General features: G+C 39.0%; 4 pseudogenes across 1 annotated transcript; 2 read left to right on the top strand and 2 right to left on the bottom strand.

Moving 5' to 3' along the window:
• Nucleotides 6,889-8,786, bottom strand: C2orf69P2 (chromosome 2 open reading frame 69 pseudogene 2; annotated as a pseudogene).
• AGGF1P6 (angiogenic factor with G-patch and FHA domains 1 pseudogene 6) lies at nucleotides 10,729-11,877 on the bottom strand (annotated as a pseudogene).
• On the top strand, nucleotides 14,884-15,343 carry RARRES2P10 (retinoic acid receptor responder 2 pseudogene 10; annotated as a pseudogene).
• On the top strand, nucleotides 20,513-23,695 carry FRG2DP (FSHD region gene 2 family member D, pseudogene; annotated as a pseudogene). Its single transcript, NR_026980.2, has 3 exons — nucleotides 20,513-20,951; nucleotides 21,745-21,844; nucleotides 22,415-23,695. The product of NR_026980.2 is annotated as an FSHD region gene 2 family member D, pseudogene (transcript).
• The last annotated feature ends 3,398 nt before the right edge of the window (nucleotides 23,696-27,093 follow it).

Here is a 27,093-nt window from a genome sequence, read left to right as displayed (position 1 = left end):
CAGTAGGCAGCTCTCCTGACCCATCCACCAGCCATCTGCCTCCATTGATGGAGCTCTTCAGGGCTGATCAGACCCCCTATTGGCAGTGCTGATGAGATTCACTGCGACCTGGACAGATCTTTGGCTCAGATGGGCCGCTTGAGTTTCAGTGACCTGGACCATTTTTCCTGGCCTTCAGAAGGCCCCTTCCAGTGTGAGTGGGCCAGACCTGACCCTGGCTGTATCTTCCTGGGAACCCATCTCACCTGCCCTCAATCCCAGGGCTCCTGATAAGCACTTCTTACTTTCCCAGGACAAGCCTGGCTCCAACAGCATCTCTAGATGCTGTGTTTCTCTTTGTGGTGAGCAAAGAAAGAGAATGAGTTCCATTTTTTATTCTTTTCTAATTTACCTATAAGTTATTTATTATAAAAAGGCTTGGGCTGCAGTAGATCTGACCCACCCACCCAGGAGGCCTCAGTACCCTCCCAATCCATCCTGTCACTAAATATTTCCACTCCTAAAAATATAGGGGGAGGCAGGAGCAAGTGCAGTTCCTCTGGCACCAGTGCTGTGAGGATGGGGCTAGAAGGGTCATGCCCAGGAAGATTCTATAGGAATTTTATAGAAATAAACATCTCAATGTTTGTTTGGACAGATTGGCATGGAGAAATTTTGATAGGTTCTAGTACCCAGAAGTTAAGCTTCATAACAACCATGAGGTTACAGCTTTCTCTTCCTGAATTTGGCAGTGTTATTTGGTGTCCAAATTGCCACAATGTCCACACATATTTACAATAGTTTATATTATTCAATTTTGTATCACTAATTGTGCACATTGGCCAGCAGTGTTTCATACATCACGGTTGGTTTCCCACCTTGCTTGAAAATTGGAAGTGACAGCCCTTTATGGAATGTTGTTTTTAACACACTTCCATCTAAGGCTCTGCATCCCCACAGTGCTAAGATGACAAATAGTCATCACTCTTCCATTTTGAGGGGGGCAGGGTAAGCAGATGCAATTTGAGAATACAAAGTACCTTGGAATCAGAATTCATCTGTCAATCAGTTTTAATGTGAATTTCACGTCCATTAGAATAGCCTGTTCATGCACTCTTAGGATTTCAAGGAGGGACAAATGTTACCTTTGAAAAATCGAAGTAACCAATGGACTTACCTCAGATATTTTGTTTGTTTGTTTCTGGCACTTGGTCATGCCATTGTAGATTGTTTCTTTTGGAATCACTGGGTGATGAGAAACTCCAGGCTGGTGAGCCGGACACTGCAGAGTCCCTGTGGGAGAAGTGTTATTACGGTGGCCCAAAGTGGAAGGCACTGCAGACCATGAGAAAGCCCCAGCCAAGATTCTGTCTGGCATGACCAGGTGCTGGGTGAGGTAGCCAAGAGCTTATTCTGGGTCTGGAATGGAGACCCCCCATCCTAGGTGCGGCTCCAGGTTCCAGGGAGCAGGCGAGGGACAGGGAGCACCTTGCACGTAGGCCTGCATTTGCCACTGGGTGCCCCACTTCTTCCTGCAGTGCTGGGTCTTGTTACATTGCTTCTGGAGGCTTCAAAGGACTTTCCTCCCTGACTCCCAGCACCTTCGCCTGGACGCTTCAGGACCCCAGATCTGTACATTTCTCGAGTCTCTATGGCGTCAGGTGCCCTATTGTGACAAGGAGGATGACCGAAAGTAGGTGATTAGGGCCTTTCGAAAAACAAAACAAAACAAAATGTTGTAAGAGGGAGGCCTGATGTGACTGCCTCTAGCCTGCGGCTGCTGGTGTGGCATGCAGGCAGGAGTTGTCTCTGCCAGGACGATGGGATTTGCTGTGCTGAAGATTCTCGCCATTTCCTTCCTTTCCCCATCAGGGAGCCTGGGTAATAAGCTGAAGTAGTAGTTCCCCATCTGGAACAAAGACTGCGAACCCTCGCTTGGGCTCCAGCCTGCAGGACACACGTATGAGCCATGGAGCACCCCACATACATAGGTTGTTGTGGGCTGGACCTGCAGCCTTCACTGGGTTCCTGACTTCTTCATGGAGTGCGGGGGTTTTGTTCTTCTCATACTGGAGGTGGCAGATGACTGTCCTTCTGGACTTCCTGTATGTTTGCCTGACCCCTGTAGGACCTGTGATCAGTGGGGTTCCCAGGTCTTTATGGTATCAGGTGCCCCATTGGGATGAAAAGTAGGATGACCAAAAGTATGCCAGTGGTTGAGGAAGAAAAAAAAGAGGAGGAGTGGAGTTTCAGAGAGGAGGCTTGACAGGATCTCCTCCAGCCTGGGGCAGCTGGATTGGCGAGGCTGGGGCTGGCTGGTGCTTGGGTGAGGTGATAAACCATGATGAAGAATGCGATTATCCCCCTTTTCAGTTGGGGGTGCCTGGCCGTATCTGAAAAGCTTGGGAAAGTGTATACCTTTCAGCGCTTAAGAAAAGGAAGAAGCAGCAGCTGAAGTGGATTTTCTAGGCCTTCCAGTGGCATTGCAGAACCTGCACTGAGTGCCACATGGACCACAGCCTGGGCCTGCAGTTTTGGGCCGGGGCATCTGTGGGAGCTCAGCCGTTGCTGCCCCAACCCTTTTTGGATTCGCTTCTCCCCAGACTGTCCCAGAGTTCAGGTCTCCGGGTCTTTGGTCTGCCCAATAAATGTACAGGGGTGAAAAGACGAGGGTGTGGAGTCAGGAGCCTTGTTCCAGTGAGCGGCATAGTGAGAAGTCAAAAGAGAGGTTATGATCTGGTTGTGCTTAAAGAGGAGAGGCCAAAGCCTAGGACATTCTGCCTTTTTAGAGGACTTAACTTTCAAGCCTTATTTGGTCTCCACTGGCCTTTGCTTCTGAGGATGAACGAGTTGGGGCTCTGTTACATGGATGTCTAAAGAGATCATAACCCTCACCCTGAATGACCAACAGACTGATAGCTCTAGCCCAGTACCTAGGTAATATGACTCCCTTTAGCTACCTGTGCCCTCCCTAAGTAAGGGAATGTGACATAGCACTGGGCCAAGCACCCAGGTAATGTGACTCTCCTGCCTGTGCCCTGCCTGCACTGGGCAATGTGACATATCACAGAGCCAAGCATCCAGGTGATGTAACTCCTTGTTTGGGACCTGTCAACAGAAGGGATTGTAATATATCTCTTGCCCGTCACCCAGGTGATGTGACTCTCTTGCCTTCTGTTCACCCACAGCTAAGATTGTGACCTTTACTAGGCCCAGCACACAGGAATCATGATGCCTTTCAGATGTGGATCCATCTGATAGAAGATATTTTGACTCTTATAGATAGATTTAGGGCAAAGGGTAAGGTCCTGAGTCTCCTACTTGTAAAACGTTACAGGAGATTCTGACACACACACGTATATTATGAAGCCTTTGGGTGGTACAGAGAGTTTCATAATACAAACCAGAGCACAGGTGATGTTGTGACTCTTGTAGCCACATCCTGCTGAAATTTAGAATTGTCACCCTCATGCATGAAGGGAGCCCAGTGGTGAGCTCCTGAATCTCACATGCAGATGAAGTCCACAGTTGGAATTGTGACTGCTATATGTAAATCTGGCCACAGGTGGTATGGTGACTCATTTCTGGACCCAGCTCACAGGTCCAGTAATGACTCTCATACCTGGACCCAGCCAATAAAATAGATGTTTGCTTTAGTAACTAGGCTTAGGGCAACAGGTAGTGTTCTGGGTTTCTTAATTGTACAAAAGTCACAGAGCCCTACAACACTCAAGCATATTGCACATTGCTCTCAGGTGGTAAAGAGAGTTTCATAACAGGGTCCATAACACAAACAAAATTGTGACTCTTGTCTGCACACTTAGCTAACAGTAAGATCATGGGTTTATACAAGGACAAATGCTTCAGAGTGGATTGCAAGTCTCACACGTAGTATAAAAACCCACAGATGGTGCAAAGAATAATAAAACAAGGCCCAGTACAGTGTTGAAGGTTTGACTCTCATTGCATACACTCCTGACAGTAAAGTTTTTCACACTCCCACATGGACACAGCCCACCATTGAATTTCTGAATTTCACACCCAAAGGCAGTCCAAAGGTGGTATTATTACTCTTATATGTGGGTCCAGCCTTCAGGTGAGATGATGAGTCTCTGACTAAGATTCAGCAAATATGTTAGGCTCTAACTCTTCTAATGTGTGTTGTTTGAGGTTGAGTCTTTCATGTATGGATCCAATTTACTGTTGATATCATGACTTGCAAACTTGGGCAAATGAGGTGTGTAAAAGTTTATGAGGTGCATACTTTTATACCTGGACCCAGAACATCTGCAGGAATGTAACTTTTATTCCTAGACCTTCCCACATGTGTGACTGACATATACTTTTGTCCAGCCAGAAATTAACTGATTTGAATATATTGTCTCTATAAAGCCCACAGTTTGGATTGTGACATATCCTAAGCCAATAACCTCAGTAATGCAGCCCTCCTGCCTAGTCCCTTCTCACAGGTGGCTTTGTGATATTCCTTTCATCCCATTTCCAGATGATGTTATTGTACTCTCCTGCCTGGGCCCCATTCCCAAAGGGTATTGTGACATATTGATGAGCCCAGCACTCGTGTGATGTAATGCTTAGCCTGGGTTCTGCCCACAGGGGACATTGTGACACATCACTTGTCCCAGCACCATAGTGATGTGAATATCCTACCAGCACTCAACCACAGGGGGAACACTAATATATCCCTGGCTCAGTATTCAGCTGATGAGACTCTCCTGCCTGGTTCTACTCACAGGTAAGATTGTGACATATCCCTAGGTTCAGGTCACAGGAATAATGAAGACTCTCATATGAGGGCCCAGCCAGTAGAAGATATTTTTACTCTCATAGAACAATCAGTAAGGTTCTGCATCTCCTAATTGTATAAAGATTACAGATGTGAACAGAACCCACTCACGAGGCCCTGGATCTCACTTACAGAAACATTTCCCAGTTGGAATTGTGACTGTCATATCTGGATCCATCCACAAATGGGATGGTGGCTCATTTCTGAACCCAGTTCACAGGCACACTGATGACTCTCATACATGGAGCCAGCAAATAAGACAGGTTTTGACTCTCATGCCTCAACTTAGGGCAACATGTAGGATCATGGGTTTATGCCATCATGAAATCTTAGAGCAGGTTTTCATTCTCATGCAGACCATATGAAGCCATTAAGTGGCACAGAAGGTGACTAATAAAGGCCCAGCACACAGGTGACATTTTGACTCTTCCAAGCACACACGACATACAGAGAGGAATGTCATCTTCCTATAGGGACATAGACCATTGTTGAGGTTCTGAATATCATACCCAGATCAGTTGAAAGTTCACATTGTGACTCTCATACATGGATACAGTTCACAGGTAGAATGGTGACTTATATATCAAAATTCAGCACACCTGTGAGATCGTGGCTGCTCTAATTAGACAGTGTTTGCAGGTGTGTTTGGAGCTTTCATGCATGAATTCTGTCCACCATTGAGATTGTGATTTGTGTACTTTAACAAAATTCAAAGAAGCTGTTGTCTCTTATCCTAGGAGTCAGAAAATGTGTGGGACTGTGAATCTCATCCCTGGACTTTCCTGTAGGTGTGACTTTGAAATACAATTTTTTTCTCACCACTTGATTGACTTTACTCCCTTGCATGAGCCCTGCCAACAGTTGGGATTATTACATACAACTGACCCAAACACTGAGCTGATGTGACTGTCCTGTCTGGATCATACCCACAAGGGACATTGTAATGTGCCTGTGAGCCCATCACCTGAGTGATGATACTCTACTTTCCTGCCTGTGCCCTGCCTCCAGTAAGGTTTGTAACAGAAATCTGGGCATATCATCTAGGTGATAGGACTCTCCTCTCATGACTGGGCCCTGTTAACAAGGGGGATTGTGACATATTGCTGGGCTCAGCACCTAGGTGATATGACTCTTTTGACAAGGTTCTGTCTACAGTGGGCATTGTGACATATCACTGAGCCTAGCACAAAGGTGATGTGACTTTCCTGTGTGGGTCCTACCAATTGAGCAATATTGACATTTCCCTGTCCCAGCATTCAGATGATGTGGTTTTCCTCCCTGTTTCTGCTCACAGGTGGGGTGTGACGTATACCTAGGCCCAGGCCACAGTCATGATGATAGCTTTCTTACATGGACCCAGCCAGGAGGAGTAATTTTGACTTTAATAGCTAGGCTTACGGCAACAACTAAGGTCCTTGGTCTACTAATTCTAAAATGGCCACAGAAGATTATGACACTCACATGTATTTTATAAACCCCTTGGGGTTTAGAGAGAGTTACATAACAGGGCCCAGCAAACAGTGACCTTGTGACACTCATAGACACATGTAGAAAACAATTAGGATTGTCAACCTCATACATGGGCAGAGTCCACTAATGAGACTCTAAATCTCACACATGGATGCAGTTCAGAGTTGAAATTGTGACTGTCATATGTTGATCTGGCCTCAGGCTGGATGATGTTTAAGCGATTCCTTGTGACTTTTGTCACAGCAATATAATTTTGCATTTTGGCCAAAAATAACTTTTTTTTTGAGACAAAGTCATGATTGTGGAGAAACATTGATTTAGATTTATGAAATCTGTTTCCTTTTTAATACAGCATTGACAAATAGAGCATTATATATTTATCTTCCCTAAGTTGTTCTCTTTCAAAAAGACTAATATAATGAAAAAAATAAAATTTTCTTTGTAGTTGATTTTTATCCAAAATACATAAATATGCTTAATTTAAAACAGTTTTCAAAAACAACTGGTTTTTGGCCAAGATTCAAGAAGCCCCAGAATGTCTTATCCAAAACAATCAACTAAAGACTGTCAACTAAAAATTAAGTGATGGTACTTAAGTCTAATTTGTTCTGTTTTTCTTTTTTTTCTTCTTTTCTTTTTCTTTTTTTTTTTTTTTGAGATGAGGTCTCACTATGTTGCTTAGGCTGGAGTGCAGTAGCTAGTCACAAACACAATCATGGTGCGTTATAGCCTGGACTCAAAGGATCCTTCTGCCTTAGCCTCCTGAGTAGCTGGGACTAACGGCACATGCCATCACATGGCTATGTTTTTAAAAACCAGCTTTACATTCTTGCACATTTTTGGACATTGTGAAACAAATATATTTTGACTCTCAAGAAAAAAGTACTTGGTGGCACATTAAAGAATGAGTGAATGAGTTTACAAAACACAAGAGGCAGGGTACAGTTATTCCAAAATGATAGGAAACAACATTGTGCCTTTGCTTTTGTTTGAAGAGAAATAAACTGTTTCCATTCAAGTTTTAAGTGCCAAAATAGCTAATTACTGTTAAAATATCACCACGATTAGTAACATTACTCAGAGAATCACTATTTCCAACAGAAACAATTTTAGTTATATTCTAGAAGTACTATGTTGTAACTTTCCTTTTAAGGGTCTTATATCTCCTCAGTATTATCACAAACCACCTTGTTAGATTTTAAATTAACTAATTCTAACTCAACACAAATTAAAAACTGCTCACATTCCCAAGGAAGAAATACTATTGCATATTTCACTCATATTTCAGGAACGTGTGTTTCCCCCATACTGACAATGCACCTATGAATTACATTCCATTATCTGAATTCATAACACTCAAAGTGCTTATGCTCTTCCACTGAACAAGTACATCAATATATTTGTAGCCTCAAACTACTTCATGAACTCTAAAGGGATTCTCTATACAGGGAGCTTCCTTCATGAAATGAATTCAGCTAGTCACCTGCATACCAATATCCCCAAGTATCTAAGCAAATTTATTTTGCTCTTTTCCAATCCAAGATCTCTTTGGATCATGTACTTGGTGAAGTGTTACATGGGTGTGAACAATAATCTCTCACTGTACAAATTCTTTCAAGACTTGTGGATAAGTAACCCAGGTATTACTTCCTACGGAATGACCACCCTCCAGCCAATATATTGTTCTTATGCTTTTAATGGAAGTATCTATGTCTTTGCGTTTCTTGGCTTCTTTCAATTCAAAAAGAAACTGATTCAAAACAACACAATCTTTATTGAATCCAGTCAAATTAAAAGATGCATCATTTAGTGATGGTGGATAAAAACTCATAGCCAACTCATCAGGTTTTTCACAGGTCCTCTCTTTTTCTCCCTGGAAACGATTTGTAATATCAGGAAACTGGACTGCAATTACATGCGTGGAGTCCTTATTCCAACCGTTCAAATTTTTCTTTGATAAACTATTATGACTTAAAAGCATTAACTAATAATACAAAGGTGCTTAAAAGCTCCAGAGTCAGTATTGTGTTCTGGGGAACCAAACATGTTACTTTTCACAAAATCGTCATGGCAACTGAGTCTGTGCAATGCATTCGAGAGCACTTTATCACCTAAATACAGCTATTGGGGAACCGGTGGGCTAAAATGATGGCAACATTTTCTAGACTCCAATTTTCCCATTGGTAATTCTTAGGATGAGGAGTCATAATTTCATGGTAATTCTGCACATCCCTGGGGAAAGAGAGGACGTGGTGGCTGCAGCTCCTCCTTCGCCTGCTCCCCAGGGGTGTCCGGCGACTCCAGTCACTCCCTGGCCACCGCCAGCAGGAGTAACTCGGCGCTGAGCTGCGGGTACGCTCTGGGCGTGGCGGACGCGGCAGGCTCTGCAGGCGGCGCCTTGTGGCAGAGGGAAGGCATCGCTCACCGCCGCTGCCGATGGGTTCATGGATCTGTCCTGAGAGGAGGACGAGGTGTCTCCAATGCCAAGCTTCGGCAGCAGAAGCAGCAGCCACAGCGTACACAAAAGCCCGAACTGTTGGGAGGCGGAGGGTGGAGGGATCCTGAGAGAGGGACTGCGGCCGGATGCCCAGCTGTCGGAGCCCCGGCCAGGTAGGAAAAGCAGCATGGAAATTTTTCAAGACATTATAAATAGAACTACCATATATACGACCCAGCAATCTCACCACTGGGTATATATCAAAAGGAAATAAAATCAGTATGTCAAAGAGACAATTGCACTCCCATGTTTATTGAAGCAGTATTCACAATAACCAAAACCATTATTTCTTTGATAGGATTCATGTGTTTCCAATTTCTGAAACTTATGAGTCACTGATTTTTTGAATATTACCTTCCTGTTTATATAGTCTAGTAAAACAAATTATTTTTCATTTCTTCCCAGCTAATCTTCATATATAAATAAATATATTTGTATTTTGTATTAATTTGCCTTCTAAAAAGTATATGACTACATTAATTGTGCTCAGCGTTTCAGTTTATTAGTCCTCTCATCAGCTCAGCCTATTTTAATGTGTAATTTGTATGCTGTACAGTAGTTTTACTACATTTTCAATAGTTTACTTTCCATTTGCCTCTTTTCCAAATATGATTTTACAATCTCGTAGTTCTTTTCCACATTATTTTTGTTTCTTTTTTTATTATATTGTCAATCATGTAAATACAAACCTCATATCTCAGTTTTATGTGCCATATAATTTATCTAACGCTTCACACTAGTAACTTATCTCCTTTTGTGTAACATAATTTATAATTTTGTTCTCACATATGGAAGACAGCACACTGGGGATGCCTGCAGTCAGTTCATCTATGTTTATTCCATTTGTCTTGTTAGAAACTGAACAACCCACATGGATTTGACATCCCCTCATGATCATCCTCATGATCATCCCCTCATGAGAAATTCCAAGTTTCTTCATTTGAAATACTGCTCTCTTCAAGAAACCACAATTGTAATAATTTGTAGAATGTATTACCATTAGAAAATTAATTATGTATTATGCACACGTTTCTGAAATACTTCACTGCAGTAAATAGTATATGGTGAGAATTATTGTTTCCTTTAACAAAAAACTAATGTGGGTAAAATTATTTACATAAATTCAGATGTTTTGGCTTCAACTGCCATTCTACCTCATTAGCACTTCCCTAACTTCATAAAAGGTATGATTTGAAATTTTTGTTTAATTCAGAATGTATTAAAAAGAATTTTTAAAAAATGTTATAATGTTTATATTGCAATTGAGGACATGTTCAATAAATATCTTAAACTTCAGGCCCTAGCTAAGTATTCCTTTTGTACTAGAAATCAGATTTCTCTGGCACAACTCCACTGCCTGCAATAATATTTATAAAAATTACAAATGCCAGTGCACTATTTCAGTACTGTACTCAGTTGTTCATATCTAAATATTTCATTAGCTATGAAACAAATGAAATATAAATGCTGAATATATAGCACAAAACAACAGATTCTTTACAGAAGAAAACAGTAAAAGACTACTTTTCTATAGTATGTCACCTGTTCGTTAGTTCTTCGATAGTATTATTTAGGCTTTAAATAGTATTATTTGGACCTTTATTTATTTATTTAGCCTAAATAGTATTATTTAGGCTTTAAATGGTATTATTTAGACCTTTATTATAAAGGTCCTTTTATCTAGGTTCTAAAGGGCATAAACAAGAATGCATATAGCCAGATTTATTTTTATAAACTTTTGATATTTCTTTTGCTGTGGGTCTTACTGTGAATATATGGAGACAAAGACAAATGTATATTTAAGTCATTAGTGGTTATATGAATTTTGCTTATATGGCTTTTTGCTTACATGGATGTCATAAATGACACGATAAAATAATGAAGTTTGACAAACTCATCTGTGCCCTGTAAACTTTAGTCCACTTACTGCATAACTTGATTCAATCACTATTTATTAGTTTAAAAAAATGGCATTGAAAAGTTGCAAACCAAACTTTATTACACATTTCTGAATCAGGAAGGGGTAAACTGTGCCACAGACTCTTTTTGGGAGAAAAGTTCTGCAAAAAATAAAATAAAATAAATAAGAGTTTCCAAACTCTATTTTTTAAAAAACTTGAGTTTTCTTCTATGACTAACCCTCACTCGACAGCCCCTTTTTACCCAAGGCCTAGTCCCTAGGTCATCTTTTCAAGGTTTAGTTTCTGGGAAATTTTCAGAAAACCTATCTCATGCTTTGTCCCAGTTTGTTTTTGTTTTGGAGAAGGTGAACATCTTCAATTGAGGAGGAATTGCCTGTCCTCAAGCCTACGTGTGTCTGCTAAAGCTAAAGCAAAATTGGAGTTTTCATTCCTCCACCATCCTTCCCCAGGCCCTCTTCTTTTTTCCAACCCACCTCCTCAAACATCTTCTGACTTTTGTTGCTGTCAGTAATTTCAGAATGAACAGATGCAGGTGCATCAACTCTTTGGAAGTGTTCTTCACTTCCAATAGGCTCCTTACTTTTTCCAGCTGTATCTTTATGTTTCAGGTTCTTCAATGTCTATTCATCTTCATAGTCTGTATAATGTAAAACATACTTTACTCACATTTTAAAAATTATTTTCTTATTTCCAACTCTTTTTTCCCCTACTTAGCTGTAAACAATTAATTCAATAAACAATTCTCTCTCTTATCAAGGTGAAAGTGAGTTCCAACCTGCTGTGGTTCACAGCCATCACAAGTATCACTGCCAGGGTGAATGTGAAAGGGTAACCTAGTCTCTCCAATTTTCATTTCATGTCTATGCTTAGGTACATAAGGCTCACATTTAGTTGTCAGCCGAACAATCCGTTTTCCATTAACAATTGTTTCATTTTGACTGCCTTGATATACAAGGACATAACTTTGTAAATCATGGTCAGAATAAATTTTTGCTGAAACTTACTGACAGCAACTTCAGGAATTCAAAGAGTATGCTCCAGATCATTTTCTCTTCCAATTGTAGCAGGTTTTACAGCAGTAATGATAAAGAGTGATCCTGTATACAACAAGGGTGATCTAATGATAATTAATACACGGGGGCCAAGATTTTTTCTTACTTGCCTCCTCAGTGTCTTCTGCAGTTACATTGCCTTCACTGGTCATGAGAGGAGGGGCTGTGGTAGGGCCTTGAAGGACGCCTGTGGAGCCAGAGGCCATTGGATTGCAGGCAGCCAAGAGCTACCTCGCCCCTGCTATCTGCTGTGGCCCTCGCCGGGATGCGATGCCCTGACATGGGTTGCCTGGAGCTGTGCGCAATGAGCAAGGGGACGGCTGATGGCCCTCCCAGATCTGCATGGCCTGGAAACCATAAAACTCTTGGGAACTATCACATCTTCCCCAGCTACAGGAAGAATAGAAGTAGTGTTGGAGAAGTCAAGGGGTCAGAAGTACTGGGGGCGTTCCCAGGTTCAGCCAGAAACAGTTCACAAGAGAGTTTTAAATAAAGTGTACCTGTGGCTAAATATGACCTACTGATTACTCTTAATTTTTTCGCCACATTTATTGAGCTATGATTTACATATTGAAAAGTATGTATGTTTAGGGTGTACAATAGAGTGCTTTTAGATGTGTATATATCTTTAAATTACCTCAAGCTGGTTAACATATCTATCCCCACACATAGTTACCTTATACGTTTCTGTGTATGTGGTGAGGGCACCTGAGATCTACTTTTGTAAACAAATTTCAAGTACAGGTTATTATTAGCTATAGTCACCATTCTGCACATAAGGTCCCCAGAAGTTTTTTATTATGTAACTGAAGGTATGCACCCTTCGATGGGTATCTCCCCACTTTTCCCCAATTCTTAGCCCATGGTAACTACCATTCTAGTCTCTGTTTCATTTTTTCTTTCTTTCTTTCTTTTTCTTTCTTTCTTTAAGATTTCACATTAAAATGAGATCAAGCAGTATTTGTCTTTCTGTATTTCGCTTATTTCACTTAGCATAATGTCTTCAAGGTTCATCAACATTGTTGTAAATGAAACAATTTCATTCTTTATTAAAGCTGAAATTATCTCTTTCTCACAGTTTACCTATTTATTTGTATCAGAGGAGTGCAGGTACGCTTGGTGATACTAATTTTATGTCTATTGGCTGTATACTCCAAATTGGGATTAAAGATACTTCTAGTTTAAAAATTTTAAGGAACCTCCCTACTGGTTTTCTTGTTTGTTTTTTTGTGTTGTTTTTTTGTTTATAATGGCTGCACCAGTGAGCATGTTCAGCAATGGTGGACAAATATTCTCCTTTCTCTGCACCCTAACACTTTTTGTATTTTGAATTTTTGATAATAGCTGTGCTAACACCACGATGAGGTGATATCTCATTGTGATTTTGATTTTCATTACTTTGATAATTAGCAATGTTGAGAATCTTTTTATATACCTGCTGGCCACTTGTATGTCTTTGGGAAAACATCTATTCAGATATTTTGCCCAGTTTATCAGGAAATTGGTTTTTGTTTTGTTCTGCTGTGAGTTTTTTTTTCCACATTGACTAGTGTTATGTATATTTTGGATAGCAACATCTTATCCTACATATGGTTTACAAATATTTTCTTCCATCCCATATATTGTCTTTATATTTTGTTGATTGTTTTCTTTATTGTGGAGAAAGTTTTTACTTTGATATAGCTCCACTTTTTTATTTTTGCATTAGTTGCTTGTGTTCTTTCTGTCAAAGCCAAAACATCGTTGCCACCACCAGTGTCAAGGAGCTTTCTCCCTGTTTTTTTTTTTAGAGGATTCATTATTTCAGTTCTAATGTTTATGTCTTTATTTTAAACTCATTTTTGTGATAAGAGAAGGCTTTACTTTTTTGTGTGTGCATAGCTAGTTTTTTCTAACACCATTTCTTGATGTGTCTATCTTTTCCTAATTTGGTGGGATCAGTTTACTGTATATGTGTGAATTTATTTCTGGGTCCTCTATTCTATTCCATTTGTTTCTATGTAGGTACTATACTTTCTTGATGAGTATAGCTTTGTAATATTGTTTGAAATCAAGAAGTTTGAGGCTTTCAGCCTTTTTATTCTTCTCAATATTTGGCTATTTGGGGTCTTTTGTGGCTCCATACTAATTTTACAAATGTTTGTTTTACATTTATTTTAATGGCATTAAAATTTTGATAGAAATTTATTTAACTGTAGATAACTTTATGTAGTATAGATATTTTAACAATGTTAATTTTTAGAATCGATGAACACAGGATATATTTTCCATTTTGTATTCTTCAATTTTTTATCATCATTTTATAGTTTTCAGTATGCAGATCTTTACTATTCTTCGTTAAACTCATTCTATTTAATGACTTAAGTATTTAATTCTATTTGATAATATTGTAAATGGAATTGTTTTCTTTATTCCTTTCTCAGATACTTTGTTGTTACTGTACAAAAATGCAACTGATTTTCATGTTAATATTGTATCCTGTAAGTTTATTGAATTTGTTTTTCAGCTATAACATGGTTTTGTTGTTGTTTTTGGCAAAGTGGTGGGTATTTTTAAGGCTAGTTATACTTTACATGGATAGTTGCTACTATCATTCTTTAAAATATGACCACAAGGGTTTCTGTTGTCATGACTTCAGTGGAATTCAGATCTTCCCATTTGAAATAATTTTGTCGGTTTTGCCTGGGCCCCGGGATGGGTGGGGGGGCCACCCCACGGGAGTCGGGAGATTCAGGATAAGGAGGGAGAAGCGGTCAGGGAGGAGGCTGAGCGCGGAAAGCAGACAGGCTCCAGGGACAGCAGGGAGGAGAGGGATTCCTGTCAGTGACCCAGTGGGGAGAGAGAATGGGCCAGAAGAGGGGAAAGGGTGGGAGTGGGCATCAGGACTGCTTCCTGACACGGGTGGGGGGCAGGGAACTTTGCTAAAACTGCAGGCCCCAGGGAACAGTGCAGGTAGGGTGGGAGGGAGTAGAGAAGACCAGGCGGACCCCAAAGTCATTTGAGAAAGGGGTATTTCCCAGTTCCTTCACCTCTGCCCAGCGTTCTGTGGGCATGGACCCCAGGGCCAGGGTAGGGGAGGAGGCGGCTCCTGGCATGCAGGGAGAGCTGAGGAGCGCACACCCGCTTTGTAGGGCGGTGTGATGGTGGAAGCAAGTGAAGGCTGAGGATACCGTTGGCTCAGTGGATGGGCTCGGGGGGCAGGGGTGGGGTCGAGCTCACAGGGCCCAGCACCCGGACCTGCAGGTGGCCCTGGAGGAATCCACCCGCCCGTGCCTTCCAAGAGACCAGTGTGCGAGGCGCCGCGGACACGCCTTTTCTAGCTGGAACATTTGTGAGGCTGGAATTTAAGCTCTGGCAGACAGGCGGCAGAAGAAGGACTGGAAGAAACCCAAGTGCAAAGTCCAGCCCAAGGAGAGGAAGCGGAAATGCCTGGCCTGGTCAAACTGTGCTCTGACTAGAAGATTCTGGGCTGGATGGTCACCGTCCTATAGAGACGCAGGCTCAGTGGGACTTCGAGGAGCACCAGGGACCCAGTGCAGCAAAGCAGAGCGGGCGGTGAGGACCCACAGCTACTGCTTCCCTGCACAGTTCGCCTTCTCCAAGGCCCAGCCCCCAGCTGAGCCCAGCAGTGAGTTGCATGGAGCCTCCTGGAACACTGCCTCGGGTGACCGGTGGAAGACCCCACCTCCCAGGGAGAGGACCGTACTATGTCCTCAGACAATAAAGCAGCTCCTCCGACCAGAAAAATAAATAAATAAATAAAATATAAAAATGTTGTTTGCTTTTCGAAAATAATTTGTATCCTGTTTACTGGTCAACATACTGCCCATTTCTCTATATGCCTAATTAGTCAAACTTTTAAATGAAATTATTTAACATTACGATTTTTATTATGAAACAAAACAGTAAATTTTGTAATGGTTTTAATATCATCTAATAGGATTGAAAATATGTCAATTTGTCATTGCCAATGAATATTTGTGTTATTTATTTTATACTGTTAGATATTCTGTCTACAAATGTCTAATGGCTTAGAATCTTGCTTAACATATTGTATGTGCTAAGTCCTAACTATTCCAATTCATCAAATTATCTTTTTATACCATTCTTAAAAATACAATATTATTTTTTATTTTTATTAAAGTTATTTTTCTAATATAAATATTTATGAAAATTATAAAGTCTATTCAGTCTGCCCTCTTGTCAGTTGCCCTCTTGTCAAAACTGAAAAAAAGTCAGTTTTTTTCTCTTTATTAATACACTAGAGGGTATAAATGTAGCTTCATTACAGGGACATGTTGCATAGGGATGAAGTGTGGGCTTCTGTGCAACAATCATCTGAACGGTGCTCATTTTCCCAGTTAGGTATTTTCTCATTCCTAACCCCTCTACCAACCTCCCATATTTGTGAGTCTCCAGTGTCTATTTTTCCAATCTCTATGTCCAAGTGTATGCATTATTGAGCTCCCACTTGTAAGTAAGAAAATGTAGTGCTTTATGTTCTGTTTCTGAATTATTTCACTTACAATAATGGCCTCCAGTTGCATTCATGTTGCTGCAAAAGACATGATTTTATTCTTTATGGCTGAGTAGTTTTCCATGGAATAAATGTATAGTACATTTTCTTTATCCAATCATTGACTGATAAATTTAAACTGACTCCATATCGTTGCTATTGTGAATAGTGCTGCAATAAACATATGAGTGTGGGTATCTTCTTTATGTAATGAATTATTTTCCTTCGGGTAGATACCCAGTAGAGGAAGTGCAGGATCAAATGGAAATTCCATTTTTAGTTTTTCTGAAAAATCTTTATACTGTTTGCCATAGAGGTTGTAGAAATTTACACTCCCTCGAACAATGAATAAGTGTTCTCTTTTCTCTGTATCCTTGCCAGTATCTGTCATTTTTCTGCTTTTTAATAATTAGCCATTATGAATGGTATAAAATGGTACTTCATTGCGATTTTTAATTGGAATTTCTCTGATCATTGGCAATGTTTAACATTTTTTACATGCTTCTTGGCAATCATTGTCTTCTATTTGAAAAATATCTGTTCTCATTCTTTGCCTGCTTTATAGTGAGGTTACTTGTTTTATTCTTGTTGTTTGATTTCCTTGTATATTGTAGACATTAGTTCTTTGTCACATGTATAGTTCACAAACATTTTTCTCATTTCATGGGTTGTCTGCTCACCTGCTAATTAAAAGCTCCTTTTCAGGAACTTTTTAGTTTAATTAAGTTCCATTTGTCTATTTTTGTTATTGCTACATCTGCTTTTGAGATCTTGGTCATGAATTATTTGCCCAGGCCAATGTCCAGAAGCATTTATCATTGGGTTTCTTCTAGAATTTTTATCATTTCAGGTCTAACATTTTAGTCTTTTAATCCATGTTGAGTTGATTTTTTTACATGGTGAGAGTCACGGGTTCCATTTCATACTTCTGCATGTGGTAATATAATTTTTCAAGCACAACATGTTGAATAGAATGTCATTTTTCCATGTATGCTTTTATTGATTTTGTAAATGATCAGTACGTGGCTTTATTTCTAGGTTCTCTATTCTCTTACATTGATCTGGGTGTCTATTTGTATCAGTACCATGTTGTGTTGGTTATTCAAGCTTTCTAGTATAATTTTAAGTCAGGTAGTGTAATATCTCCAACTTTGTTCTCTTTGCTTAAATGTGCTTTGGCTATTCAGACTTTGCTATGGTTACAAATAAATTTAATTCTTTTGCTAATTCTATGAAAAATAACATTGGCATTTTGGTAGGAATTGCATTTAATATGTAGATTTTTGGAGGGCAATATGGTCATTTTAATGATAATTCTTCCAATCCATTAGCAGGGATGTTTTTCTCATTTGTTTGTATTATGTACAATTTTTTTCATCAATGTTTTGTAGTTTTCCTTGTAGATATCTTTCACCTGTTTGATTAATTGTATTTCCAGGTACTTTTGTAGCTATTGTAAAAGGAATTGACTTTTTAATTTGGTTCTCAGCTTGATCATTATTAGTGTATAAAAATGCTACTAATTTTTCTACATTGATTTTTAATAATCCTGAAACATTATTAAATTTCATTTATCCAATCTAAAAGGTTTTTGGTGGTCTTTAGATTTTTCTAGATATAATATTATGTAATCATCAAAGAGGGACAATTTGACTTCCTAATTAAAACCATATGGATGCTCCCACCAAGATCAACAGACAGGATCTGTGGTGAGGGTACAGGTTATGGTAGGTCTTTAAAGGGGTCATGTGATTATAGTTGAAAGCCTATTCTGAGAGCCACCTAGAGAAGTATTGCCCCTCAATTTTCAATGCACATATAAATCATTTCTGATTCCAGGCCTTTTTCTTAGTGATGTGATTTTGCAGTTTTGGAAGGGGTCCGTGAAATAGCTTCTCTAAAAATTCTCCTCTTAATGCTGATGTTTCTCCCACTACATCCGTGGTAGTAGCAATCATCTAGAGAAAGTAGGCACAGCACACAGAATTCCTGATACCCAACACTCTTACCACAGCACAGAGAGTTTTGGCTCAACGTGGACACCACCAATCACCATTTACAAACATGTCATTTTTTGCCAGTTCTTTAAAGATTACAGAGGCTAGAGAAGGCATCAACATTTGAGTAAGTCTGGATTAAAAAAAAAAAACATGTACACATGAGTTAATACAATGCTTATTAAGCATGTACTATGTGTTCAGAAGTCTGTTACAGACCACTGTGCTGGAAACTTTACATGATGTGAGTGAATCCTCATAACACCCTGGGAAGTGGGTGCTGTGTTCCATAATTTCTAGGATTTAGAAGAAGGGCCCAGCATTTCTATTTTTTCTTTCACTTTTTAAATTTATTTACCTTAAAAAGAAAATGTATGGAATAAAAGCTGTATAGACAGATGAAAGGGATACAGAAAGAAAGGATGAACTGTTCAGAGGGATTTTTTGGTATTTATATTGACTTTCTTGTGCCTTGTAGAGCAACTACTGGATATGCAAAAATAAAAAACAGGTTGCTAGATGGGATGTCTCTATGGCTTCAATGAAAAAGAAATTGTGGCCCACAAATAGATAACTATTTGCTCCCATTTATCTGCTTTTTATTTGCAGGAAATTGGGGGCACCAGCGCAGGAGAGGCAGCAGGAGTCACCACTCAAATTTCTGATCTCCTTTAATTAGTTCTGTGAGAGGAGATTCTAGGGTGAAGCCAGACCTGGAGGAGGCCTTAGAAGAGGGTGGACCTGGGGACAGCAGGGACAGAAAGTGGGCCCTATGCATCTCGTGTTCTGCTGGTGGAGTATTTCCAGTTCTGTCTTTCCTAAGCCTGCCTGATAGAATTGACTCCTAGAGTTTGTGTAATTTTAATCTATTTTAGCCATTTCCCTGTCAATTTTTATGACACACAATAACAAGGAATTTAACGAAAACTCTTAGGGCTTTTTTAGGAAAATTATATGAGAAGCTAAAAAAATTATTTTTACTAATGTAAAAGAAATAGAAATAATCACAACAATAGCAATAATTCTTCTGTCCATGAATAGCCTTTCTGGTGATAATGTTAGAACTCACAACAACAGCATATGGGAAGTGGAACAAATGCAGCCAAAGTCCCCTGTACACCTCCCTTCTCTCTTCTGACCTCAGAATGTTGAATGCAATCATTTAGCCATTTGCTCTGGAATGAAAGTATCTGGACAGTAGAAACCATGAATGTTTCATCTGTTTTTCCAATGGTCATACGATATAGTTTAGATATTTGTTCCAAATCTCATATTGTATTTTAATCCCTAATGTTACAAGTGGGGCCTGGTGGGAGGTGTTTGAATCATGGGGATGGATTCCTCATGGCTCTGTGCTGTTCTTGTCATGGTGAGTATTCATGAGATCCGGTGGTTTAAAAATGAGGCGTATCCTTATCCCAACTTTCCTGTTCCCACTCCTACCATGTGAGATGCCTGCTCATCTTTCATCTTTCACCATGATTGTAAGCTTCTACATATGTTAATGTTGTTACAAAATTTAACTCAATTTTCTTATAAAATTAACTGACAAGATTTCATGTTATTATAAAATCATAAATATAATAAATGAATATATTATGACATCACATTATATTATGATATAATTTGTATGTATTGTGGCATCACAGTATGTTATGACATCATAATTCACATGCATCATGATGTCACACTATATTATGACATAATTTGTATGTATTGTGACATAATATATTATGGCATAATTCATATGTATTGTGATATAATACATTATGACATCATAATTCATATGTATTATATTACAATATATTATGATTTCATAGTTTTATGTATTATTATGATAGCACAGTAACAAAATTTTGTTAGGTAATTTTATAAAATAACTGAGTTAAATTTTGTAAGAACATTAACATATAAACTTTATAGAACCGGAGAATATTATCTGCTATTGTGTGCACAACTGCTTTATGATATTATGATAAAATATCAATATTTGTTTATATATCAAACAAATTTTATGTGATATTATGGTATCAATATATAATGATACTATAAGTTCCATTTAAATAATATTTAAATTCAGACAATTAGAGTGTCTGTGTGTCTACCACCCGATATTTTTCTGGGTTCCACTATTTGCACAGACAGCAAAGCTAGGAAAACACAGACTCATTCAGCACAGTCTCTTCCCTGAATCTATCCCCTCCTCAGGGCATCAATTCATCAGTCAACCAAGTCAATTGAGAGTGGAGGCTGAGTTCTCTCTAACATAGAAGGTCTCATTCTTGTATGCTTTTCTCAGAAGGAAAGAAAACAAGAAGGCTTTTGAGGGGACACTTGCTGGGACAGGCACTAAGCCTTCTACAGTTTGATAGCTCTAACCAGCAGATACAGACTTCTCAGTAGGAAGGGGTGAGGCAGCTGTCCTGAGCCAGGAGCTCCACCATATCGTGTCCCATCCTGTTAAGGCAATTTTGAGAGGCTGCTCTGGAATATGTCTCAATGGTGGATGTAGGGAAACTTCACAGGCTTTGATGGGACTGAGGTGGTGTCTGTTGTGTGAAGACAGGAGCTGAATGCTCAGGATCTAGGCTGCTTTTCTTGTGGTCAGTTGGGTTACCTGTTTGGGACCAAGTCCATGTTTACTAAGGAGGCTGAATAAATTCTACAGAGGAAAGTGGAGCTCCCAGGATGACCGAGGAAGGGTAAGAAAAGGGGTAAGTTTCTCTCTCCACCTAGACTTTTTGCTACCTCAGGAATCAGGCGCTGATTAAGTTAGCATCTGCTCTAATTAAATAAATTCGAGTTGATTGTATTTGATCTAATTATTGTCTAATTAATTGTCTAATCTCTAATTATTTGAGCCATTTTATTTGGTATTTACTTTTTCTTCATATTTTTATGTTATCATATATGTATCTATTTAATACAATCAACCATAATTTTAATTTGACATTTCCAAGCATTTGAAAAATTATAATATCTATGTACATGATTTTAACACTATGTGTAATTCTCTTCCTTTGCCAAATGTATGACACATTTCAATATAGGTATGTTTAATTCTGCATGTTGAAAAATAAACAGTATCATAAATACTTCCAGGTGGAATTGGGACAGAAATTAGAAAAATGATTCCCCTATTTTCTGATTCCTGTGCCCCTGGCTTTGTTTTTTGTTTGTTTAGGGTTTTTTTACACTATGACAAGACCCAGAAAATGTCCCTCTTTAACTGTGTCTAGGTCCCTAGTAAAACTACAGCAAGAAACTTTTCTTATGAGGCCCTAATGAGTGGCAAGAAAAAGGAAACTGTTCAGTCAATAGGAGTATGCCACGTCCAGCCAAGGACATGTAAAAGGCAGGTCCAGCAGAATAACACACAGTCTGAATCTGGATGTGTAAGAGAGAGCACCTTTCACTTGAGCTTAAACAAGGGAAAGGGAAATGAATACCCTAATTCTCCACTGCTCCTCCATCCAATGCCCCACTGACCAGCCTTCTTTCCAACAGATCTCCTTTACAGAAAAGGGCTCAGATAAGAAGAGACAATTCAAACAAAAAGCCGAGACCCCCTCCTCCCATTCCAGTGAGAAGCACAGGCAAAGACAGGGTAATGCCTTGGGCTGTTCCTATGGAGGCTGGAAGGAGTGTTGGAATCAGGGATACTGAGCTGTGTGTCTCTGGGTAGGGTTTTATTTTGAAATTGGGGATGGAAGATGGCTTAGAGCCCTGGGGAGACTTTGAGAAACATCTTCACTTATGACACTGGCAGAAGAGCTTCACTTAAAGGACTGATCCACAAATATTTGTCAGAGATAGACTATGAGACTCTGTGTCTGAGAGAGGTGAGTCACCTAAATTCCATGTTGCACTAGGATCAGAGCCCAATCTAAATGAAGAGAAGAATTCTGAGAAAACTAAGCCCAAAGCTAGAAACAGCACTGCTAGATTAGGTAAAATTTGACTCTTTCAAGGTAAAAAGAGAAAGGGCTGCAACACAGTCTCCCCTGGCAAGGAAACTGGGAGCTCTTTGGCAGCCAGGGCCATATAGACATGGATTCTGGAGAACAGAGGAGAGCTGGGTTTGATAGCTACTTCAGCTCCTTTGTGTCCAGGATGAACTAAGGCTTCTAGGGTGTTTGGTTGGAGACACTTACTCAAACTCTTATTTTATCAACAGAACCAGAGTCGAGCTCACATGAGGGAAACTCCAAGAAAAGGAAAATCGGTTCCAAGGACAGCTGCCAAGACAGAGCTGGTAGAATTTTGCCTTTTTCCCCCAAAGGGAAAATAAGCAGTTGACTTTTATAGAGGGTTTGAGCAGCAAGGTGACTGAAAAAATTTTTGAGATCCTGGCACTCAGAGAATATTTGGGGACTCAGAAGGTGTTAAATTTCACTTCATTTAAGTACTAATATGGTCAGGATGGAGGGGAAGATTCAAATGTTCACCTGAAGGTGCATGGGAGGTTTTGGAAATGAGGGTCGGTGGGAACTGTGCTGGCGAGTATCTCACTCACATGCTTCTTTTGCGGGGATCTGTCCAGGAGAGGAGCACAGCTTGATGTTGAAAAAGAAACTAAAGTCCTCCACTTTGCACAGCAATAAACTCAAGGAGACCTGTGATGCCCACCACAGAGGGCCTTTCATGACTCACACTGGGTGCACCAAGCAGCACAGGTCTCAGACCCTAGGAGTTCAATGGCTGTCATTTCAGAAAAGCTTGGTGACTTTACAAGCTGTGTCAAGGCCATTTATCAAGACCTATACTGGGTATCGGTGCAGCAGGTCCATTCTCCACTGACCTGGGAGCAGCTCACTCAGCTTGCCCGGTTCTGGCGGCCTCTATGTGCTCAGGTGCAGACCTTCTATTTTATAGCCACCCAGGTAGGTTATGTCTTCCCTGCTAAGAACTGGCTTGTTTCAGCCACATTGCCTGGCCCTGGGGATCCAGCCCTGGATAGAGAAGCCCATCCCTTGCCTGGGCAGGAGATAACTGAGCCTGTCAGTGGGTCAGATGAGGCTTGAGCTGGGTGCACCCTGACCCCATTCAGCAGAAATTGCAGGTCTTGGAATGAGAGCAAGAACCTGCTATAGGAAAGTAGCTTGAACAATATACTCAAAATGGTGAACCCTGCATTTCACAGAGGGCTAAGATTATAAACAAATTTTATGTTTCTTGTTAGACATTTGATGTCTTTCAGATGTCTGGTGACAGTCATGCATTTCTATATAATCAGACAAATATTAGGATGTAATCATTCATATGCCTTTGCAAATTTTAAATTGTAGAAAAATAAATAAAAAGTTATATGTTTCTCTTTTAATTCAGAAAAGGCTGTAGCCTCTAACTTTCCCACGCTGAGCCCATGGAGGACTAATATCCACAAATCTTTAATTGTACTCCCTGTGGGAAAATGTTAATATATTTTTACAGTTTAATAAAATTATGGTGAAATCACTCCACAAGGTGTTTACCATTAATATTTTTCCATAAAACTCAGGTCAGTGTATCTTAAATATAATTGATCATACTTATTTATTCTTTACCTGACTCATATTTGCCTCCTTTTAAATTTTCCATATTTAAACTTTCTTCTATTTTATACATTACAGTTGATTGTACTGTATTGCAGGATATTAAATATAATATAAATATTGTCATTTATTTTATACATTGATAAATTTTATATTTTTTATTCTTGCATTTTACATTGAGATTATGAAAGCCTTCATCATCTAAATTTATTTTTATTATGTTCTTAATGTCCATATACATAATGATATAAACATTAATGTTTCTGAGAATATTCAATTTTAGATAATTTTATATTTCATCCATAATTAATTTGTATTACTACCTGTGTGAGTTAGAAGACTGTTTATATTCACTTCTACTTCATTTTCACACTGACCTCTCCACACTCCACAGCTCTTGTTTAGTCAAAGAATAGCAATTTATCGTTTCAGTTAATGGGGCCAATTCAATAAAAATATATAGATGTACCTTTGAGATATATGGGTTTTGCTCTAGACCAGTGCAATAAAACAAATATTGCAATAATGTGAGTCACACAATTTTTCTTGCTTCCCAGAACATATAAAAGTTATGTTTACACTATACTGTAGAATAAAATTGAAATAGCCCATGTTTATATTAAAAATATACATACCTTAATAAAAAATGTACTTTATTGCTAAAAAATGCTGACAGAGGTATACACACACACAAAGATGACATGATGTTGGAAAAATAGTATTAATAGAGTCATTCAATATAGGGTTGCCAAAACCCTTCAATTTGTAAGAAATCCAACATCTGTGAAGCACAATAAGGTGCTATAAGATAAGGTATGCCTGTGTCACAGTCAATTTTCATGAGTGATATACTTAGAAATCATACATAAAATATATTTACATATGTATAAAAGTAATTAACAAGATACAGAATGTGTGGGAGATAAAAATTACAAAATGATTTATAAAGTAAATTAAAAAGGAGACCAAGCCTTGGAAACATTCCTGAGCAGACAGAATCAGTTAGACCTCCCCAGTGACATCATCTTGTTGATTTGCAAAGAAGCAAAACATAATGCGAGCTATTTTTTGTGAATGCCTGTATTAGAAAAACAACAACAACAGAATTTAAGCTTAAGTTATCAGAAATACTCAAAAAGCTTATAGTAATATATGTCTATAAGGTAAACCAAATAAGACAATTTTATACCTGCAATGAATCAAATAATTTTAATATTTTGCTCCCGCATTTCTTCAATACCTCTGACACTTTGCCACTAAAATGGTAAACCTCTTTTGGTCCGGTGTTCCACAATTCATTAGTTGCTTGTTACTCAAGAAAAAAATGTTTTTTGAAACAGGTTCTTGCTCTGTCGCCCGTGCTAGAGTGCATAGATAGAATCAAAGCTCTCTGCAGCCTTACATCCTGAGCTTAAGCCATCCTCCTGCCTTAGCCTCATGAGTAGCTGGAAATACAGGCATGCACCACTGTACCCAGCTAATTTCTTCTTCTGTTTTGTAGAGCCAGGGTCTTACTATGTTTCCCAGGCTGGCCTCAACCCCTCTCACTTTGGCTTGTCAAGTAGTCCTCTCACTTTGGCCTCTCAAAGTGCTGGAACCACAGATATGCATCATCATTCCCTGCCAAGAAAACTTGTATAATTTGTATTGTGCTACAGTTTACTTTTCAACAGGACAAAATAAAATGAACTAGCTATACATAGATCTAACAAGAATTTGTAAAATGTATGACAAAGAACATAAAAAGTCTTCGAAATATAGGAAAGTCAGCATAAACAAATAGAAAATCACATCATGTTCTAAAGCAGAAAAACTCATTATTACTCAATCATCAATTTTTTTAGCAGTAATTAATAAATTTAATTTTGTCCCAATATAGATACCATTTGGTAGTGGAAGCAGGCATTGTATTGGAGAACTCCTATAGATGAAAACACAAATAAGAACAGCTAAGAAAACTCTGAAAAAATAATTAGAGTGGCTGTCCCACCCTGTGAGACATGTTGATTTTTGAATATATAGATAGCTCAGTGGAACTATAAATTCAAAAATAAACCACAGTGCATCAGAAAGTGTCTTCATTTGTTCAGATTGCTAAAACAAAATACATTAGACTGGGTCATGTATAAATAACAGAAATGCGTTGGTCACAGTTCTGGAAGCTGGAAAGTTCAAGATCAAAGCACCAGCAAATTTAGTGTCTGGGGAGGGTCCCATTTCTCATAAATGATGCCTTGTTGCTGTGTCTTCAATGGCAGAAGGGACAAGGGTGCTCCCTTCAACCTCTATTACAGGGTATTAATTACATTCATGAGGATGAAGCCCTCCTGAGTTAGTCACTTCCAAAAAGGCTACATGTTTTAAAACTATCACATCAGGGACTAAATTTTTACAAATGAGTTTTTAGAAGGACACACAAATTTGCATCATAGTAGAAAGTTAATTGGCAATAAAAACTACACTTGGGTAGGCATCATTAATGCTTTGAGTTTAAGAATCTGATATTTCTATCATAAAGGTAAAATAAAATGTATTAACTAAAACTTGTAATTAAATAAAGGTCAAATGAAAGATAAATCTATATGGTGAAAAAAATCAATTTTTTTTACTTATTTTAAACAACAATTTTCTTTTTATAAATTTATTTATTTATTATTATTATACTTTAAGTTTTAGGGTACATGTGCACAATGTGCAGGTTAGTTACATATAAATACATTTGCCATGCTGGTGTGCTGCACCCACTAACTTTTCATCTAGCATTAGGTATATCTCCCAATGCTATCCCTCCCCCCTCCCCCCAACCCACAACAGTCCCCAGAGTGTGATCTTCCCCTTCCTGTGTCCATGTGTTCTCATTGTTCAGTTCCCACCTATGAGTGAGAATATGCAGTGTTTGGTTTTTTGTTCTTACGATAGTTTACTGAGAATGATGATTTCCAATTTCATCCATGTCCCTACAAATGACATGAACTCATCATTTTTTATGGCTGCATAGTATTCCAAGGTGTATATGTGCCACAGTTTCTTAATTCAGTCTATCATTGTTGGACATTTGGGTTGGTTCCAAGTCTTTGCTATTGTGAATAATACCGCAATAAACATACTTGTGCATGTGTCTTTATAGCAGCATGATTTATACTCCTTTGGGCATATACCCAGTAATGGGATGGCTGGGTCAAATGGTATTTCTCGTTCTAGATCCCTGAGGAATCGCCACACTGACTTCCACAGTGTTTGAACTAGTTTACAGTCCCACCAACAGTGTAAAAGTGTTCATATTTCTCCACAACCTCTCCAGCACCTGTTGTTTCCTGACTTT

The sequence above is a fragment of the Homo sapiens genome, chromosome 16, assembly GCF_000001405.40.
Source record: "Homo sapiens chromosome 16, GRCh38.p14 Primary Assembly".
In the NCBI taxonomy this organism is placed as follows: Eukaryota; Metazoa; Chordata; class Mammalia; order Primates; family Hominidae; genus Homo; species Homo sapiens.
This window is presented reverse-complemented; position numbering and strand designations above follow the sequence as displayed.